General features: G+C 41.0%; 1 protein-coding gene, 1 long non-coding RNA gene and 1 other non-coding gene across 29 annotated transcripts in view, besides 6 other annotated features; 2 read left to right on the top strand and 1 right to left on the bottom strand.

Annotated features, from left to right (window-relative positions):
* Positions 499-1,195: an enhancer, noted in NCBI's record as "NANOG-H3K27ac hESC enhancer chr7:77056489-77057185 (GRCh37/hg19 assembly coordinates)". NCBI's record gives its function as "activates a minimal SCP1, AML or CMV promoter by ChIP-STARR-seq in primed H9 embryonic stem cells {active_cell/tissue: H9 hESC(primed)}" and the evidence as "EXISTENCE:reporter gene assay evidence [ECO:0000049][PMID:30033119]".
* Positions 1,895-2,592: an enhancer, noted in NCBI's record as "OCT4-NANOG-H3K27ac hESC enhancer chr7:77055092-77055789 (GRCh37/hg19 assembly coordinates)". NCBI's record gives its function as "activates a minimal SCP1, AML or CMV promoter by ChIP-STARR-seq in naive H9 embryonic stem cells {active_cell/tissue: H9 hESC(naive)}" and the evidence as "EXISTENCE:reporter gene assay evidence [ECO:0000049][PMID:30033119]".
* Positions 2,593-3,291: an enhancer, noted in NCBI's record as "OCT4-NANOG-H3K27ac hESC enhancer chr7:77054393-77055091 (GRCh37/hg19 assembly coordinates)". NCBI's record gives its function as "activates a minimal SCP1, AML or CMV promoter by ChIP-STARR-seq in naive H9 embryonic stem cells {active_cell/tissue: H9 hESC(naive)}" and the evidence as "EXISTENCE:reporter gene assay evidence [ECO:0000049][PMID:30033119]".
* On the bottom strand, positions 2,923-13,169 carry LOC101927243 (uncharacterized). Its single transcript, NR_110073.1, has 5 exons — positions 13,019-13,169; positions 6,503-6,600; positions 4,762-4,913; positions 3,690-3,735; positions 2,923-3,156 (listed from the first exon to the last, which is right to left on the bottom strand). It is a non-coding gene; the product is annotated as an uncharacterized LOC101927243 (long non-coding RNA).
* LOC124901830 (small nucleolar RNA U13) lies at positions 4,579-4,684 on the top strand. Its single transcript, XR_007060666.1, has one exon. It is a non-coding gene; the product is annotated as a small nucleolar RNA U13 (small nucleolar RNA).
* Positions 11,723-12,072: a silencer, noted in NCBI's record as "silent region_18322". NCBI's record gives its function as "represses an Ori minimal core promoter by ATAC-STARR-seq in GM12878 lymphoblastoid cells {active_cell/tissue: GM12878}" and the evidence as "EXISTENCE:reporter gene assay evidence [ECO:0000049][PMID:35858748]".
* Positions 11,737-19,335, top strand: part of GSAP (gamma-secretase activating protein) — a 105,880-nt gene continuing 98,281 nt past the window's right edge. For 23 of the 27 annotated variants that reach the window (NR_146938.2, NR_146937.2, XR_007060056.1 and 20 more), the window contains exon 1: positions 12,018-12,154. Coding sequence is in view for 15 of the 27 variants with exons in the window: in NM_001350898.2 (NP_001337827.1) it covers positions 12,046-12,154 (109 nt within the window). In the remaining 12 variants the exon portion in view is untranslated. The other 4 variants (XM_047420491.1, XM_047420494.1, XM_047420493.1 and 1 more) reach the window with 4 other exon arrangements.
* Positions 12,293-12,502: a silencer, noted in NCBI's record as "silent region_18321". NCBI's record gives its function as "represses an Ori minimal core promoter by ATAC-STARR-seq in GM12878 lymphoblastoid cells {active_cell/tissue: GM12878}" and the evidence as "EXISTENCE:reporter gene assay evidence [ECO:0000049][PMID:35858748]".
* Positions 12,563-12,852: a silencer, noted in NCBI's record as "silent region_18320". NCBI's record gives its function as "represses an Ori minimal core promoter by ATAC-STARR-seq in GM12878 lymphoblastoid cells {active_cell/tissue: GM12878}" and the evidence as "EXISTENCE:reporter gene assay evidence [ECO:0000049][PMID:35858748]".

Here is a 19,335-nt window from a genome sequence, read left to right as displayed (position 1 = left end):
CCAAGGGATGACATGCACCTTAGCTACCCTTAACTACACCCCAATCACTCCCTCTCCTCAGACAAAAAGCAATTCCAGGAAATAGAAGTTAGTTTTCACTTAAACAGGATGTGACTATGATGTATGTTTCAATTTCAGCTGGTGGTGACCTGGCTTCTAATAGGAACCCACATCCCCCAGTCCTTGGCGGAGAATGCCTGACAGTGTGGCCAGATTCCTGAGGTTTATGACCTTGTGACCCACAGAGCATTTCAGTCCTCTTCACTCAGCCTAGCAGGCAGATTTGGGGACTAATCATACTGGGAGTCACTATTTCCTGCAAGAAACCTTCCCTTAGGAAGCTTTGTAACATTTCTTTGCAATATCAAAGAGAGACTGAGAGACAGCAAGCTTTAATTTTCACCTGTGACTTAAAATTAATATGTAAATATAGGAAGGAGAAAGAGGAAACTGCGTGGATGGAATGACCTGAGACATCTGGGTCTTTATTCATTCCAATATTATTTTATGAGATTACTATTCAGCTACATACATGAAAGAGACTTCTGAATGGCAGACAGGGCAGAAGGCTTGACTTACCTAGATTGCATATAATCAGTATGTAAGGAGTTAGGATTTTTCTAACAGTAAAAGCAATCTTGACTAAGGCATTTGAAGCAAAAGTTAACACTACCTGAATCTTAGATCAAATAGAAGGGTTTACCCCAGAGAACTATCAAGCATTTTTTTCCAGAGATCTGTGGGGAAACCTACAATTTGATTTTTGAGGGTAAGTTGGGGAGTAGAGGAGAGTTTCTGAAAACTCTCCCTACTATTTCCTGTTTTATTTTTTGAGACGGAGTCTTGCTCTGTCACCAGGCTGGAGTGCAGTTGCACAATCTTGGCTCACTGTAACCTCCGTCTCCCGGGTTCAAGCAATTCTCCTGCCCCAGCCTCCCAAGTAGCTGGGACTACAGGCACGTGCCAAAACACCCAGCTAATTTTTGTATTTTTAGTAGAGACAGAGTTTCACCATGTTGGCCAGGATGGTCTCGATCTCTTGACCTTGTGAGCCACCTGTCTCAGCCTCCCAAAGCGCTGGGATTACAGGCGTGAGCCACCGCGCCCAGCCTATTTCTTCATCCTTAATTCTATTTTCCTGGTTCACTTTGTAGAATTTGCTACACAGGATGTCTTTCACTGTTAAAATTTTCATGTTTCCTTGGTTACTAGGTTGCAGTTTTCTCCTAAGCCCCTCTGTCTCTCTGCATATGAACTTGGTGACAGGGATTGGGAAGTGAATTTTTTTGATGATCTTATTGCTACTGTAGTTAAGAATCAGCACTGTTAAGCAAATGGGGCCTTGGGGATCATAGTTCAACTTCTTTTATTTTACAAATGAGAAAACCAAGTTCAGAAAAGTTAAGCAACTTGCCTAAGGTCACAGAGCCTGTTCATGCCAGGGCTGCCTCAAGAATCCAGGCCTGTTAACTCTGAGTCAAGTACTAAATACATGACTCCATTGCTGGCCTTTTTCTTTTCTTTTTTTTTAAATGCCTGAAATTCTTTACCCTCTTGAGACTCAGCTGAGCATTTGGCCAACCTGGTGTAAATATCAGGCTTTTTCTTAAGTGACAAAGTTTTGATACTATCAAAGAACACGGGAAACTACTATCTGCTCCCGGGGGTGGACACAGATTAGATGGACATTTGGAAAGCTGGAGGCCCTGAAGAGAAAGGTGACACATTACAGGGTTCAGTTTGCGATTAATACTAAGCATTCTGATGGCATGCTGCTTCCACGCAGGGGACAGAGATATCGCTTTCCCATGGACTCTAATTTGTCTCCATAGTCTCTCTTCTAGCAGATCCAGAGATGGATCTTGACTAAAAAGATAGACGTGCTGATTGTCTTCTTAAAGAAAAATTCTGTGGTGGAGGAGGTAGCCTCTTTTAAAATCTGGGAAAGATGTAGATTTTTGAGAATGAAGAGGGTTTAAATTAAACATAGTTCAAAAAATTAAACACAAGAGGGAAACTAATGGAATCCTTCATAAAATGTTTAAAATATTGCCTACGAATCTCAATACTTCTACAGATTATTTTCAGAAAATAACGGGTTTTAAGAGAGCTGAGCTGTGGCCGTTTTGGTGATGAACTGCTTGGATCCCCTTTCGAACAGGCTGGGCTAGTTTCAATTTCTCTAAAGTCGTCTGTATTATTAGCATTCATGTAAAGAAAGGTTCAGAGGTTTGCTTTTTTTTTTTTTTGCACAATAAAATCTTTTTCAAAACAATTTTCTATGATATGGTAATTCTTTTATAACCCATGTTAAGTCAGGTTTCTTTTGTATATTGTGATTCATGCTAAGATAAATAAAAAATAAACCACGATTGAAATTTTAAAAAAGAAGCTGCTTAACGAAGATCTTTAAGTAGCTAATGAGTCAGTGAGTATTCACAGAAGTTTGGTCAATGCTAGCAGGGACTATTTTGTGTTGAGAACAAAGACACCAAAGAGATAGCCACTGGGAGGAGACCGGAGGGAGGCAAGAGGCTCCTGTGGAGCACTGGAATCAGGAAAAATTTCCCAGCCCTCATTATCAAAACCGGCTGGAGGGAACAGCAGTGAAAAAAACAACATGCAAAGCCACAAACAGGTGAAAAATGCAGAAAAATGTAATGTTCTTAGCAAGGCGGCACATCCTTCATTTATGATCACCTACAACATATTTTCAAAGTAAAATCCTATCAAAGAAAATAAGCTCTTGTGATTCAACAGCCATAGGACAGCTGGCATTTCCCTCCTCCCCCAACAACTGACACTGTCCAGAGGGACACCAGAATCCCCTGAATTTGAGCATTACATCGTACAACAAAATATTTAATTTTAATCAAATTTATTTTCCTACGGGGCATTCAAAAGAGCACACTAACCCATCACTTTCGAGATGGTAATTTATTTACTTAGTTTTTGCTTATTCAGGACCTTCGATTGGCTGACTTGGTTCCTCCAGGAATTGCCCCTCCAGAGGTGGTGACAGTAGGTCTTCTGTGGAGGGAATTGCTGGGACAGCGTTCAGCTTCATTAAAGGGAGCTTTCAGGGAAAGTGGGAGCTGGGGTCTGGCTGCCAAGATTTTAATGAATTGCTTCAGATATTCTCTCTGGTGGCTTCCACTGTGTTTAGAAATTTGAGAAAAAAAATCTATGTACAGAACACATGGCAGTTGGACATTAAAAATCTGCCACACACACAAGTATCTGTCATACATTTCTTTTAAAATGGCTAAGTGCTACTCATGAAATTCACAAAGGATTTCAGGAAGTCAATGTGTATATTTTAATGAAAATATTTCTGTAATAGATATTATTTATTCCTTGTCATGAATTTGCCTGTGCAATTAAGTCATATGATTATTTTGCAAAAAAAGTTTGATTTTAGTAATTTTTTTCCTGAGACCAGTTAATGGAAGTTTCTTATTATAGAGGAAAGGACAGTCATTTAAAAGGTAAAAATAACACTTTTCATTAAGCTTCTTCTGTTATTTGACTATGGCTTATTTCAGCCAGTTTTGGAGAATTAAATTCATACAGCACAAGGCCAATAAATGCGGTTAATTTCATTAGGGGTTTGCAGTACAGTGGGGGGAAAATGCAATCTAATGTAAAGCCCTTGCATCTTTTAATTCAGTGTTTTAAATCAAACTTACCCATGTCACTCAAGTTTGCCTACAGCACAATAGGAGATGATAGTTCCTTACGTGGGGGAAAAAGAAAAAAACTTTATGAGACTTCAGAAATACCAGTCCTTCTGATAACATTTATGATTTTAAAAAATATTTTTCGGCTGGGCGCAGTGGCTCACGCCTGTAATCCCAGCAATCTGGGAGGCCGAGGCAGGCAGATTGCGAGGTCAGGAGATCGAGACCATCCTGGCTAACACGGTGAAACCCTGTCTCTACTAAAAACACAAAAAATTAGCCAGGCACGATGGCACGTGCCTGTAGTCCCAGCTACTCAGGAGGCTGAGGCAGAAGAATTGCTTGAACCCGGGAGGCGGAGGTTGCAGTGAGCCGAGATTGCACCACTGCACTCCAGCCTGGGAGACAGGGTGAGACTCCATCTCAAAAAAAAAAAAAAAGTATATATGTTTATTTCAGGCCAGGCATGGTGGCTCTTGCCTGTAATTCCAACACTTTGGGAGGATCAGTTGAGCCCAGGAGTTTAAGACTAGCCTGCCAAGATAGTGAGACCCTGTCTCTACAAAAAAATTAAAAAATTATCCGAGTATGGTGGTACACACTTGTAGTCCCAACTACTCTGGAGGCTGAGGTGGGAGAATTGCTTGAGCCCAGGAGGTGGAGGTTGCAGTTAGCTGTGATCATGTCACTGCACTCCAGCCTGGGTGACAGAGAGAGCCCCTGTCTCAAAAAAAAAATTTTTTTTTCCATTTTGAAACAATCACAAACTTACAGAAAAGTTGGGAGTTTAATATAGGAAACATGTTTTTTTGAGCTATTTGAGAATAACTGCTGATCTGATGTCCCATTACTCCCAGATACTTTAGGATGTATTTTGTACAAACAGGAATATTCTCTGATCCTTTCGTAGTTCATAAGCATGATGATCGGGTGTTCACATGCTCATATGTGACATGTGCCACCCTCGAATCTTGGTACAATGTTGGGACATTACCCATCTGACATGAAAAAACTATTAAAAAAAAAAAAAGAACATTCTCCTATATAACCACAGTACAAACATCAAAATCAGGGAACTAACCTTGATTCAGTACTACCACCTAATCCTCAGACCCCTTCCTTTGTAGGAGAAGAATCCAGGACAGGATTATGTGGAGCATTTGGCTGCCATGTCTCTCTAGTCTCCTTTCTGGAACAGTTCTCAGTCTTTCAGTGGCTTTCATGACCTCGACACTTCAAAAGATTACAGTTCAGTTATTTTGTAGAATGTCCTTCCATTGGTTTTGTCTGCTGTTTCCTCATGATTAGATTAAGGTTATTCATTTCTGGAAGAGGTTGTATCCTATGATTTCCATTTGTCCTATTACTGATGATGTTCACTTAATTAAAGTGATGTATAGCAGGCTTAATAAGTATTTTGTGGGATAGTATTTGGAAACTAGATGTCCTGTTCCTCAAACTTTCAATGTATATATATGTATTTTTAATACATATATTACATGTATTTTAATATATGTATATATTTTAATACATATATATCTGTATATATACAGATATCATATGCATATACATATATATGTATCTATATTCCTATGGACTTATGGTTTCTTGTTTTAATAAGTTATACTTCTTTATTGCCGTTGTGTATTTTGATGTTCAAATTGTCCCAGATCTGGCCAGTTGGAAGCTCCTTCATGTAACTGCGCAATGGGTTCATTTTGCCCTGCCCAGATAGAGTCAATTTATCAAGACACAGGAATTGCAATAAAGAGTTCAACTCATGCAGAGCTGGCTGAACAGGAAACCAAAGTTTTATTATTACTCAAATCAGTCTCCCTGAAAATTCAGGGACTTGGGCTTTTAGGGATAATTTGGCAGGTTGGGGAACAGGGAGTGGGGAGTGCTGATTGGTCAGGTTGGATGAAATCATAAGGAGTCCTCTTGTGCAGAGTCAGTTCCTGGGTGGGGGTTGTAAGACCAGATGAGCCAGTTTATTGATCTGGGTGGGACCAGCTGATCCATGGAGTACAAGGTCTGAAAAAGACCTCAAACACCAATATTGGGTTTTACAATACTGATGTTATTATAGGAGCAATTGGGGGGGTTAGTGATCTTGGGGTTTCTGGCTGCATGACTCTTAAACCATAATTTCTGATCTTGTATCTAACTTGTTAGTCCTACAAAGGCAGTCTGGTCCCCAGGCAAGAAGGGGGTATGTTTTGGGAAAAGGCTGTTATCATCTTTGTTTCAAAGTTAAAGTTAAGTTCCTCTCAAAGTTAGTTTGGCCTACATCCAGGAATGAACAAGGACAGCTTGGAGATTTGAAGCAAGTTGGAGTCAATTAGGTCAGATCTCTTTCACTGTCATAATTTTCTCACTGTTATAATTTTTGCGACAGGGGTTTCATTCACACTGGCTGCTGTGTCCTTCTGACATGTCCTCATGGTTCTTTGAGCATGTTCTTGCTTTCTGGCACTACAAGGTGTTCCAGGTTCATCTTTCTTTATGCCAGACGTGTTGATTGATATAGGGGCATTGCTGCTCCCCGATGTTCAGTGGACAGAACTAAAGAATATATGTGTGTATGTGCATACATGCATATGCATATTTATTATGATATCTACCCCTCTATCTCCCTATCATCATCTGTGTATTAAAAACTATGTTGGCTGGGCACGGTGGTTCACGCCTGTAATCCCAGCACTTTGGGAGGCGGAGGTGGGTGGATCATGAGGTCAAGAGATCGAGACCACCCTGGCCAACATGGTGAAACCCTGTCTCTACTAGAAATACAAAAATTAGCCAGGCATGGTGGCACGTACCTGTAGTCCTGGCTACTCGGGAGGCTGAGGCAGGAGAATCGCTTGAACTCAGGAGGTAGGAGTTGTAGTGAGCCGAGATCGCACCACTGCACTCTAGCCTGGAGACAGGGCGAGAGACACCATCTCAAAAACAAATAAATAAATAAAAATAAATAAATAAATAAAAACTATGTTTACCCCAATATTTATAATTCCAATCCAACACTACAGCTATTTTTTTTCTTTTTTGTGACTCTTTTGCCTGCCAGTGAGAGACATGGGTCACATTATTCTTAACACATTCACTTAAATAATTCAACCTCGTCTCAGCTCCCACTCCCATCCTTGGCAGATGCCCTCTCTAAGCCACGTGAAATCTGACACCCTAGGCTGGACAACCACTCCTTGCCCACTCATCCACCCACATGGCCCACATGGACACCCTTCTCACCCTACTTAGACTCTGACATCTCATGCTGGGTGACCATTCCCTAGTCCCCACACCATCCCCCAGGGATAACCTCTTCTCCCTGCTTGAGTTCTGACATCCAAATTTTGGTCAACACCTTGCTCCAAACCCCTGTGCAGAGGCTTGCTTTTCTTTGTCTAATCTGGTAGTTTTAGGATGGAATTGTTTAGAAGTGGAAGGGGAAGGAATAAAGCGTGAAAAGTAGGAAGGAAAAGGAGGAAAGGGGAAGAACATTTACGTGGAAGTCACAAGATTAAGTTTCTGTTTGAAAATGATACAGTTTTAATAAGAGAAGAATCAAGCCACTTAAAATGGAGTGTTTTCTGACTGATATAGAATATAACATCCTTTCTTTCTTGGTCATTACAAATGATACTAAAATCCATGTATTCATTTATCCTGTGAAATGAGTTATCATAGATGGCAACATAACTTTCATATGATTATGTATTTCTCAGATGATCTCTTTATATTTTGTACATTCCATTGTTCTATTTGAGATATAGTAACTCCATACAGTTAATATTTGTTCATCAACAAAACTTTAAAAGGAACTTAGTGAAGCATTCTTGCTCTCAGAAATGTTTAGTACTCTATTTTCACCTCAGTTCTTCCTTGTTCCTTTGATTAAATCAGATGTAGTTCCTTTAGAATATTTGAATTGTTGTCTAGCCCATCTTGTCAAATGGCAGTTCTTTATTTCCTGCCAAGTCATAGGGCTATCATTCCACAGAAAATTTCCGTAAAAAAATCTGTGTCAGTCTTCTTTTCAACAAATTTCAGGATGAGTGCTTTCACTCTAACATCATAAATAATAACCAAGCAGATTTAAAGAGTTATTCTATTAATCATTGCTAAACTCAGTGTCAGCTTTCTAAGAAAACAAATAAAAACAATATGAGTTCGTGACCAGCCTGACCAACATGGCGAAACCCTGTCTCTACTAAAAATACAAAAATTAATTGGGTGTGGTGGCGCGTGCCTGTAATCCCAGCTACTCAGGTGGCTAAGGCAGGAGAATCGTTTGAACCCAGGAAGCGGAGGTTACAGTGAGCCGAGATCGCGCCACTATGCTCAAGCCTGGGCAACTGAGTGAGACCCTGTCTCAAAAAAAAAACAAAAAACAACAATATATGATGGCCCTGAGCATGTAGCCATCTATGTAACTACACAGGACAAAAATTAGCCGAAGTTGTCAGGAAGATGGTCCCTTAAAGGCTGAACAATAATTTTATAGTCAAAATCTGAGTGAAGATACATTTTTAAAAATTAAGCTAGTTTTTAAAATTGAAAAGCTAACATGTGCCTAACGTTAAACAAAAACAAAAACAAAAACAAAAAACAACCTTCACTGAGTTACGTTCCCCACAGAAAACTATTGTTAACAGTTAGGAGTTGGGAAAGTCCTTGGAATTCCACTTGTAACTGTTAAGAAATAGGACTATATCTTCTATTTTAAAAAAATATCTAAATAAAACTGTTAGATGAAGAAAATATGTAGGGTGTCAATGTGCTTCATTTTTAGGACAGAATAAAAAACTGCTATGAAATGACTGCAAAGACATCTTTATTATAACAGCACTTGGAATTGGCAATTCAGGAATTATTCATCTTGAACATCTTATGTAGTTTTAAAAATTCTCTAGAAAAACCACAACTGTTTTCATCTTCTCTTGTATAAATCTTTAATACTATTCTTGAAATTATACTAAGAAGAACACTGAAAAGTTAGTGAACATATGTAAAGTAGATCACCTTGATTTAGGATGCCTATTTATTTTATTAGGATCACTGTGTTGTGCTGTGCACAGAGTGTGTGTTTCGGAGGACTCATATTCCTCTCCCCTCTTGCCTACTGCATCTTGGTGAGGTCTCTGCTCTGCAACAAATCAACACAGGCTTGAAACTCAGTAATCCAGTCACGAAGAGAAGGAAAGAAAACCACCTCCATTTAAAGCACCAGATAGCTAGACCAGTGCTCCCCAAACTTCGGTGTGCACAAGAATCATAATTTTGAAGATTCTGATTCTCTGCATTGCTTCACCTCTTTTCTTGCCTTGTGCTTGCATCTCTACTATAGTGTAAGCACCTTTATCTCCTCCCTTTAGCTGATTCTCTGTGGCTTGCTACTAAAACTTGTGACTCATGGCGTGGTTCAAACTTCTGGAATCAATATTTACCTCCATTTTAGATTTCTCCTCACATACCGACCTTTAGCTCTGGTATATCTTCAAAGCTAGCCATTTCATGCATTTCCTCACCTGGCCCTCTCTATGGTGGACAGTAAGGCAGCAATACAGAGGTGGAAAGCTCCTCACATTAAGTAGCAGAATGTTGCTATTCAAAATGTCATCTGTGGACCAGCAGCTTTGGCATGACCTGGAAACTCGTTAAAATGTAGACTCTTCAGCACCACCTCACCCTGCTGAATCAGAATCTACCTTTTATCAAGATCCTTAGGTGATTTGAATGCTCATTAAAGTTTGAAAATCCCTGATTTAAGATGCTTTTGGCACAAGTAACAGAAAACCCAACTCAAACTGGCTTGCATGATACGTAGAATGACTTTCAGGTGATCTAATCCAGAGGCCCTTAGGTTTTCAGGGCTTTGCAACAAACTCTTTTTGCTTATCTGAGCTGTTTCCTGTAAGCCTACTCCCTCAACATAACTTCATTTTATGTTAACAATACAAAATATAGAATGTGTTCTAATAAGTGTTCAAACACAAACCTATTATTATAGTGCTCTTTGGCCTGTGCCCTAAATTTTGAAATGATCACTCCTTAAAATTGAAACCCTTGGTTGCAAGTAAAATAAAAGTCTGACTGAATATCATTTAAACAATAGGAAATTCAACATCTCTAATATCAGAAAGGGCAGAGGATGGCTCCAAAAATAATTTACCAAGGTTTCTCTTCTCTGCAGTTCTCTGGACTCTCCTGACTCCAATGACTCCATTTTCAGTGTGCTAGATGGCTGAAATTCCAGCAATCATATCTAGATCCCGAAATAGTTAAAGACTGAAAGGGACCATCTTTTCCCATGTCTCTTGTTTTAAGAATAGAGAAATCTGTCATAGCAGAGGTTTCCTTACAACTCAGTGGCCGGAATCGGGTATCATACTCTGACAGAGATCTCTAATTGCTTCTGAATATCTACTTTCCCCACCTTCTTCAGTAATACCGTCCTGATTTTTATCTGGGCACAGCAATGGCCAGGTATATTTCCTTGCCTCCCTTGAAAGCTACATTTGGCCATGTGACTAAATTCTGGTGAGTGAAACATACGTAGAAATGTTGTGTAGAACTTCCGGGAAGTATCCTTAAAAGAGAGGTAGCATCCTCTTTTTATTCCTCTTCTTCCATTCTGATTTCTGGAATGCAGACGTGAAGGCTGAAGCTTCTGCAGCCCTCTTTGATCATGAGGACAAGGGTACACTCAGGATCAGGTGGAGCAAAGAACTGGAAGGAGCCTGGGTCCCTGATAAATTCAGGAACCTGCCCTAAGAGCTTTATTCTGCCTACGTCCAGCTAGGTGACAGAATAAAACTTGTGTGTTTAATTTACTGTTAATCTGAGTTCTTATTAACTTCTGGAGAATCTAATCCTAACTGATACACATGCCTTCATATAGCACCCTCATGATTTTGGCCACATCTTTCTATCATTATCTTATTGTTTCTCACCTTCTTTACATTGGCTTTTTCACTTAATTTGAAGAGAATTTTTTATATCATCACTGCTTGACTATAAAATCAGTCCTGCCTGGCAAAAATAGAAGTTAACTGCAAAAATAAAAACAATGGAAATGTACTGACTTTAAAAAATTGGCCAACAGTGTTTCTGTATGACAAAGGCAACAAGCTTATTTGATATGAAATAGTTGCATTAGCTCCTTGGGGGCTCCAGTGGCCTTCCTTTTATTCACTGATAATATTAGCAGCTTCATTAGGCATTTATCTTAAATTTGCATGCACTTCCCGGGTGGGAGGACTTTCCTCTGTATATGGTGGTGAGTAATGGAGTTCTACCTGAAATCATCCATTACCTCAGTTGGAGAAACATGTCTCTAGGAGGGAAAAAAATTCAAGACTTTCTTTTACATTTGGTTGGAGTAGTTTTCAAACTTAGTAAGCCTAAGAATCACCCGAGGCTCTGGGTAAAATGCACGTTTCTGGTCTTGTCCAGGTGTAGAGATCAGGAGTCTGCATTGTAAAATAGTGCCCCAGATGACGTCAATACAAGTAGTTTTCAGACCTTAATTTCGGAAGCATGTGAAAAAGCATTCTTTATTACTGTATTCACTCATTCTTCAGTAATTGTCGAGCACCTTCCAGAGTGCTCTGTTAGACCCTGGTGGGAGGCAGAGGGTTTGCGTGGAGACTTAAGATTCAGTTTTCATGTCTCAAGGCATCAAATGAGATGTACTAGAGTTAAAAGGCAAAAAGGACGCTGTTTGTATCAAGCGCATTAACCCCTTTTAGCGTTTCTCTTACAATGGGATCACCTTCGTCATACGCTCCCAGTTGCTACTCATTACCTTAATAACACTAATAAAGCACCACCACCTCGAAGCTGGGGCGAATAGGCCCAAGAGACGGCCTACTTCTGTGGTGACCCTGAACTGCTCCAGAGGACCCAGCTCTCTCAAGCCAAGTGGTTTCCACACTTTGCTGCACAGTGGAGGCACTTGTAGAATAAAGAAAATAGGCCGACCCTCCAGGTTTGGAAGCCACTGGGCTAGCGGCCTCGCCAAGGCCCTGAAGCGCCCACGTCTTTGCGCCCTCTATCCTCAGCCCCGAAGGTGCGCGCGGAGGCCTCCCGCCCCGGCGGGCCTGGTCCTGGCGCCTGGTCCACCCCGCCCCACCGCTACCCGCCGTGCCCGGCTCCGGCTCCGGCTCAGGTGCGGGCCGCCGGCCGGGAGGAGCTGGTGCCGGAGCTTCTCAGGCCAGGGCGCTGCAGAACCGAAAGCAGCAGGGGGCGGGGGAGAGGAAAGAGGGGGCGGGAGCGGGGACGCGAGGGCGAGGCGGCCACGCGGGGCCGGGAATGCCCGCGGTGCGGGGCCCCAGAGCCGCCCGGTGGTCGTGTCCGGGCGATGGCTCTTCGCCTGGTCGCCGACTTCGACCTCGGGAAGGACGTGCTCCCGTGGTTGCGGGCGCAGCGGGCAGTGTCGGAGGCCAGCGGGGCCGGAAGCGGCGGCGCAGGTGCGGGAGGCGCGCTGCGGAGAGGGGTGGGGGCGGGGAGTGGGAGTCCCTCATACCCCCCGGACTCCGACCCGGTGGGGAGCAACCCGGGGCGTCGCCGCCCTGAGAAGGCTGGTGCGAGGGCGTCGCTCCCCTCCTCAGAGGGCTGTTTTGGCTTTGCCACCCACACCCAGCCACGGCGGAAGGTCTGGGGGCAGAGCCCGGGCCAGGTCGCCGTGGGGCCTGAGGCGCCTGGCTCGCTGCCGGCCCGCGGAAATTCGCCCTTGGCAGAGGGGCCGGGCCGCTGGCGGTTCCCTCAGCATCACCTCACGGCGAGGGCAGAGGGTCGTGCTCAGCTCAGCGGCCGCATCCCACCTCCCGGGGGGTTCATCGGCAGCGCAGGGGCTTTGCCAAGACAGGAGTGCTCCTGGAAGCTTCACGTTTTGAGAAAGAATCCGTGACCACCAAGCAAACCACCCTATACCTAACGGTGGAACAGTTTGTCCCCACATTTGCGAGACGTGTTTATGTGTCTGTTGAACCGTGTCCGTGGCTCAGGGGACATGGGCCTCGGCGGTGAGGCGCAAGAGGGCAGGGGCCGCCTCCAGGCTGCGCGCGGCGGGGCGAGAGCCCCCAGCCGCCCCCGAGCTCCGCACCTGTGCAGGCTGGGGCTGCGCGCGAGATGCTCGGCTCCCGGCCCTGCCACTCCGGGCTTTTTGATGATTTGGTAAGGGAGTGAAAGTGACTTTTGAGCCTTCCCAGCACTGATCTGTTTTAAAGAAGGGGAACTTTGTGATTTCTTACAAAGTTTTAAAAGTCTTCTATAAATATTGGAGCTTCAGAGCTTAAATGCAGCTTCAAAGCAATGATGCCTGTAGGTCTCACCTTGTGTGTAGGGCGCTGTCCACTTCAGTGAATTTGGAAGTGGGTATTAAATGACCCACATCTACAACTCCTTTCCCTTAAACGCTGGTGAAAGTTTTCTTGATGTGAGTTATATATCAAGTTGCTATCTTGTATCTTCACACTCTCCTATGACTATAGCGAAATTATTTGTAGGTTTCCTTGGCTTGGAATATTATTAGCTCCAAATAAGGAGTTATATGTTTGTGTAGCGTATGCATTGAGTTTGCATTAGTGTCATGCTTAGTAAGGCTTTACTTTTTTTCGAGGTGGAGAGGGTGGTCAAGGAAGAATTTTATACAAAAATTAGCTGGGCGTGGTGACACGCTCCTGTAATCCCAGCTACTCGGGAGGCTGAGGCAGGAGAATCGCTTGAACCTGGGAGGCAGAGGTTGCAGTGAGCCGAGATCTCGCCACTGCACTCCAGCCTGGGCAACAGAGTAAGTCTCCGTCTCAAAAAAAAAAAAAAAAAAAAAAAAAAAAAAAGTCGCCCACATGTCTGAAAAGTTTTTGAAGGCTTAACTTTTTGAAATACAACAGGCAGCTCTGTCTTCTACTACCAAGTACTCCTTTTTCTGGACTCCCACTTTATTTTGCTAAATGGCAGGTGTCTGCAAATGAGAAGTTAGATGAGTGTGAAATGCCACAGTCTTATGTTTCCGTAATGTGTGTCGTGCTTGAAAAGCTGTGTGTGACCCACTGGGACCTGGCTTCCTTGTATCTTTCGCTCATCTCTGAAGAAATATAAACTTGTGTATTGACCTTCCACTAAACAACAGATAGCTCTAGGTCCTCAGAAGGTACTTTCTGGAAATACTAGCTTTTCTGATACTGGTAGTATTTTGCTCTTTCAGAGCAAATATCTTGGTAAGATATTAGCCCTGTTATACTAAGAGAATTATCACCTCTGATAATCACCAGTGGGTGGTAGCTCAAAAATACCCCCACACAAATTAATTCCTGTTCTGTAATTTATAGCAGTGGCAGGGAAATCTGGGATTCTGTCTCATTTCTAGCACAGCAGTTACAACACACATTTGTGGAAATCATTATCCTTTCAAAGTTCTGGCTTTTCAAATGTAAATTATGAATTACTATACCATTGTAATGCCTCCTCTATGCATACTTGCTTTCTGAATTTGAAGCCTTAATGTTTTTACATCAACAAATACAATTGAAGTTTTCTTAGAGGTGCTAAGTAATTCTCATGAGATATGTATGATATATTCCTGGCAAAACAGAGAGCTGGGCTGAGTCAGCCATGGAAATTCTGTGCCTGTAAGCATTTTGGTCAATAAGGGGTCAAGGAGGAAGGAGAACAGATTTGGTTACTGCATTTGCTCCTGGTTCTGGGTTGAACTTTTGAGAAAACAGTTTCTCCTGAAATAAAAGAAGATATTTGTTAAAAATCAAAACAACTACATAAAAGAATATTTTAACAGGTAGCTGTAAATGATAAAAGAAAGAAAAAAACCACCGAAGTAAAACCGTGTATCCACTACCCAGCTTAAAAACAGAGCAATGTCAAGACTCTTGAAGTCTCTTATGTGCTCCTTTCTGATTCTATTTCTTTCTCTCATCCTCACCTCCTAGGTTGGCAACCATTTACATTTTTATATTTTAACATTACTTTGACTTTATTTGTAGTTTTAGCCTATATGTATGGGCAAAATATTTCATTTTGCTTGCCTGTGAACTTTAAACATACTGTATGCATTCCTTTTGCTTATTTTCCTTCTCAATATTGTGAGATTTACCCATATTGACTGGCTAGCTGCAGGTTATTAATTTGTATTAATTAATGCTATATAGTGTTCCATAGTGTGAATTCAACACGATGGTGGACATGGAGATGCACCCCTTAGATTTTCCTTTCAAAGAACAGCTTGTCCCAGGTGCTGTGAGTATAGTCAGCAGGCAGTCTTCAGCTGTCAGCCCCTTCAGGGATTGCCTGCCAAGAGGGCTGCCCTACCCAACTTCACTTCCTTTTGGGTATGGACCACGTGAAACTGAGTGGGCTTTAAAGGCCTGGCCATTTTGACTGAACATGGGACAACTCCATTTCAGTTCCGAAGCTTCCTCTTTGAGGGACCCAAGGTCACCTGAGGATATTGGGCCTGCGTTGCTACTGGACTTCTCACCTACCAGGACTTGCTTCCTTCTCCTTCCTCTTAAGGGTGTTAATCCCACTTTCCTGAGCACTCCCTGATGAACATACTGGGTACTAAACTCTGTCTCAGAGTGCATCCTGGGGAACCCAACTTATTTTTCCAGTGGGTGGCTTTTGGGGGGTTTCTGGGGTTTGCTGTATGGTCAGTACTCTTACTAACCACCTGGTGCACACAGGCATATGTTTCTCTAGAATGTACGTCTAAAAGTAGAGTTGCTAAGTCATAGGCTGTGCACATCTTCGTCTTTCCTGGGCAGTGCCAAATTGTTTTCCAGAGTGTTGTACTTATTAACACTCTGATTTGTGGTGTGGAAATGTTTCTGATACTCACTATCCTCACAAGCCCGTGACAGCTCAAAATTTAATTTTTTTTTTTTTTTTTTTGTCAAACTGGTAGGATTAATTATTTCATTGTGCTCCGAGGTTGAGCATCTCTATGTATTTACTGGCCACTTGAATCTCCCTGCCTGTGAAATGTCTATTCATCCTTTTGTCCACTTTCCTATTTTTTTTAATTGATTATTTTAGGGGTTATGTTTTTGGGATTATAGTTCTTTATCACGTGTTGCAAATATTTTTCTCTCAATCTGTCACTTCTGTTTCGGTTTGTGATGGTGCCTTTGATAAACAGGAGTTCTTAATTTTAATGTAGTCTAAATTAGGAGTTTTTCTTTATAGTTTGTTCCTTTTTGGATCTCTTAAATCCTCCCTGTTTTGAAGTCGTGAAGACATTTTTAGTATTAACTTTTGGAAGCTTTATGACTTTTTCACCTTTTGATTTTAATCCACCTAGAATTTATTTTTATGTGATTTATAGGAGTCCAATTTTTTTTAAAAAAATTAATAGCTAATTGTTTCAATATTATCAATCAAACAGTCCTTTTAGTTCTCACAACAAAACCACTTCTGTCACATCAAGCTTCCTTATGTAGGTCTCCTTTTCTGAGTTCATTTTGTTTCATTATCTCAACTTGACAACTTTCTTTTGAGAGTCAAGCTCTGTCACCCAGCTGGAGTGCAGTGGCACAATCTCAGCTCACTGCAACCTCCACCTCCCGGGTTCAAGCGATTCTCCTGCCTCAGCCTCCCAAGTAGCTGGGATTACGGGCATATGCTGCCACGCCCAGCTAATTTTTATATTTTTAGTAGAGACAGAGTTTCACCATATTGGTCAGGCTGGTATTGAACTCTTGACCTCAGGTGATCGGCCTACCTCGGCCTCCCAAAGTGCTGGGATTACAGTTGTGAGCCACCATGCCCGGCCATGACAACATCTTAATAACTATGCTTTATGGTAGGTATTGATAACTGGTAGGGTAAGTCCCCTCACCTTAGTATTCTTCACGAGTGTCTTAACTATTGTATGCCCTTTGCTTTTTCATATATATATTTTTGAATCTGCTTGTCAGATTTTACAAAAAAAGTTGATTTGGATTTCCTTTAGTTGTATTGCCTCTATAGATCAGCTTGGGGAGAATTGGCATCTTTACAATATTGGATCTTTCCAACTATGAACAAAATACAGCTCATTATTTATTTAGATCTTTTTAAATGACTCTTAATAAGTCTTAGAATTTTCTCCATGAAGGTTCTGCACATGTTTTGCTAGATTTCATCCTAGGTTATTTTTTTGTTGCTCTCATAACTAGCACACTTAAAAACATGACATGTTGTAACTATTGCTGGTATATAGCACTATAATAGATAGATCTTATATGTTGACTTTTGTATCCCGTGCTTAATCCCTTGTTGGGATTGATCACATCTTCAAGAAAATAAGATCTGCAATATGTAAGTTTTCTAACATTTAAATGTCAATATTTAAGACTGGAAAGGATGTAGATTTTCTTGCCTGCTTTTATTAGTCTTGGATTTATGATACACCAGATTGACTTGTCTTTCAAATATTGTAATCTTTGCCAGGGAAGTGGTATATTTTACCAAGTGACTGATTCAAGAATAATACTTTTTTTGGTTGCCTCCTATGTATTCCTAGATTGATTTGGGGGCCAGAGGGTTACCTTAATCACATTGTTTTCACTTTTTTTTTTTTTTTTTTTTTACTATTTTCTTGCCACTATCTGTCCTTTTTACTTTTTTTTCCGCTAATTCTTTCCTAGTCTCCTCTTCTAATTCTCATCTCTCTCTTAACTTCATTTTACTCAGAATATGAAATATAAATCACATAATGTTTACTGCATAGGTTTAGGAATTATAATAACTGGTCATCTTGAGCCTGAGGATTTATATGAATTATTTACAGAATAGGAATGTTATAGGTATAATCATATTTTGTCACCTCTTGATGTATGTATTAGGAACTAGTTCAAAATTTTGTATAAGGCTGAATGACGTTTTTCTCCTTAAATATGGTCATTGGAAAGACAAATACTTTAATTTTTGTCTCATAGCAGTTTGGGATAAAATGTACACATTTGAGAACCCCTATTCCTGTAAAGTGAAATCACTTTTGTTTGACAAAGAATAGATTGAAACGAATGAGAATATCTGGCCAACCAGCTTTTGTTTTACAAGAGCTATGCCTTGCCAATATCTTTAATATCTAGGTACTCTCGTTTCTTTTATAGGTTTACCTATGCAAGTATCTATCAAAATGCTACATTGTTTTATTCATGAGAACTGAATATACTAAACTGTGAAATTAAGCCACATTTCCTCATTTGAAATTGCAAAACTTCTTCCTCTGGACTTTCCAGTGATGAACTACTGGGAGAAGAGTCAGAATGAATAAGCAAAGAGGTTACTGAATACTTCTTTTAAAAGGGTGTGTTAAGACATGGGCAACTCGTCCAGGGAGGAAGAGCCGATGGCTTAATAGTATGTGGTGAGACATTGGTCTCTGGATTTGCAACATTACCAAATTTGTCTATTTCACATGTCCTTGAAATGTGAACTGTGTACTTAACTGCAGGGTATTCAGCCCTGCAGTTATTACCTAATGTTCCCATGAAAACATTATTTTTATTTCTTTCAACTCTCTGTCTACCATGGTTATATTATAAGATGGTCCAAGTTATGCCCTCTAACAAATATTGCTTAATATGTAATGTACATTTGTAGTTCAATGGTTCTTAACCCTGGCTGTACATTAGAATCACCCAGGGAATCTAAAACACATACATGTACACCAGAGAGTGGGCTCCACACCAGCTCAATAAAATCAGAATATCCTGGGTATGGCTTGGGGCATCAGTGTTCTTTTAAAAGCTCCCTTAATGATTTTAAGACAGCCAGAGTTGAGAACCACTAGTTTAATGGGATAAAAATGTGTCATTTATTGTAATCTGCGTTTGTTGGAGAATTTTTTCTCTTAGTATTATAGTAATCTGAAAATAGATACGCTTTTGCAAGTAAATTGGATTTAGCAAGATTTCTTGTGAAGGAGTTCTTATCTTAGCCGAAACCTTTTAACTGTACTTTTGCGACGATCTCTCCTCGCATACTTATAATCTTGAAAGAAAAAAAATACTTCTCAAAATATTGACACATTGCATTCCAGAAGTTTTGAGTCGTGTACAGGATGAACAAACTCACTGAAATTCTCTTTAGATGTCTACAATATCTGCCTTTCAAAGGACTTTTGAGTAATTACCCATTTTCTCATTGTAAGCTTGATACAGAACACTCAGTCCATTGTTCTGTTTACCTTTTTCTAGGTTTGAGTTCAGTCTACGCCACCTTTTCACTGTATATTGGTCAAGTATCATTATCTCATTGAAAAGTATAGTAGGCCTGGAATACCTTATACAATGCAGATGAGATAGAAATGAGAACTCTCTAAATTGTGAAGGCCTACTTAGCCATAAGCTTATTATTATTATTAAGAGACAGGGTTTTGCTGTGTTGCCCAGGTTGGTCTTGAACTCCTGAGCTCAAGCCATCCTCCCACCTTGGCCTCCCAGAGTGCTGAGATTACAGGCGTGAGTCATCATGCTTGGCCCATGAACTGATTATTTAAATCCTAGTCTCCTAAGAGACCAAATTATTATCCTTATTATCCTTCAGTGTGAAGTGAGTCTGACAGCTCCATATACATGTCAATATACTGACAAACGTTTATACCCATGTATAGAAAACACTTTGCCCTATCCCTTTGCCCTGCCCCTAG

Source organism: Homo sapiens, chromosome 7 (assembly GCF_000001405.40).
Source record: "Homo sapiens chromosome 7, GRCh38.p14 Primary Assembly".
Lineage (NCBI taxonomy): Eukaryota > Metazoa > Chordata > Mammalia > Primates > Hominidae > Homo > Homo sapiens.
The sequence above is the reverse complement of the archived record's forward strand: the minus strand, read 5'-3'. Positions and strand labels throughout refer to the sequence as shown.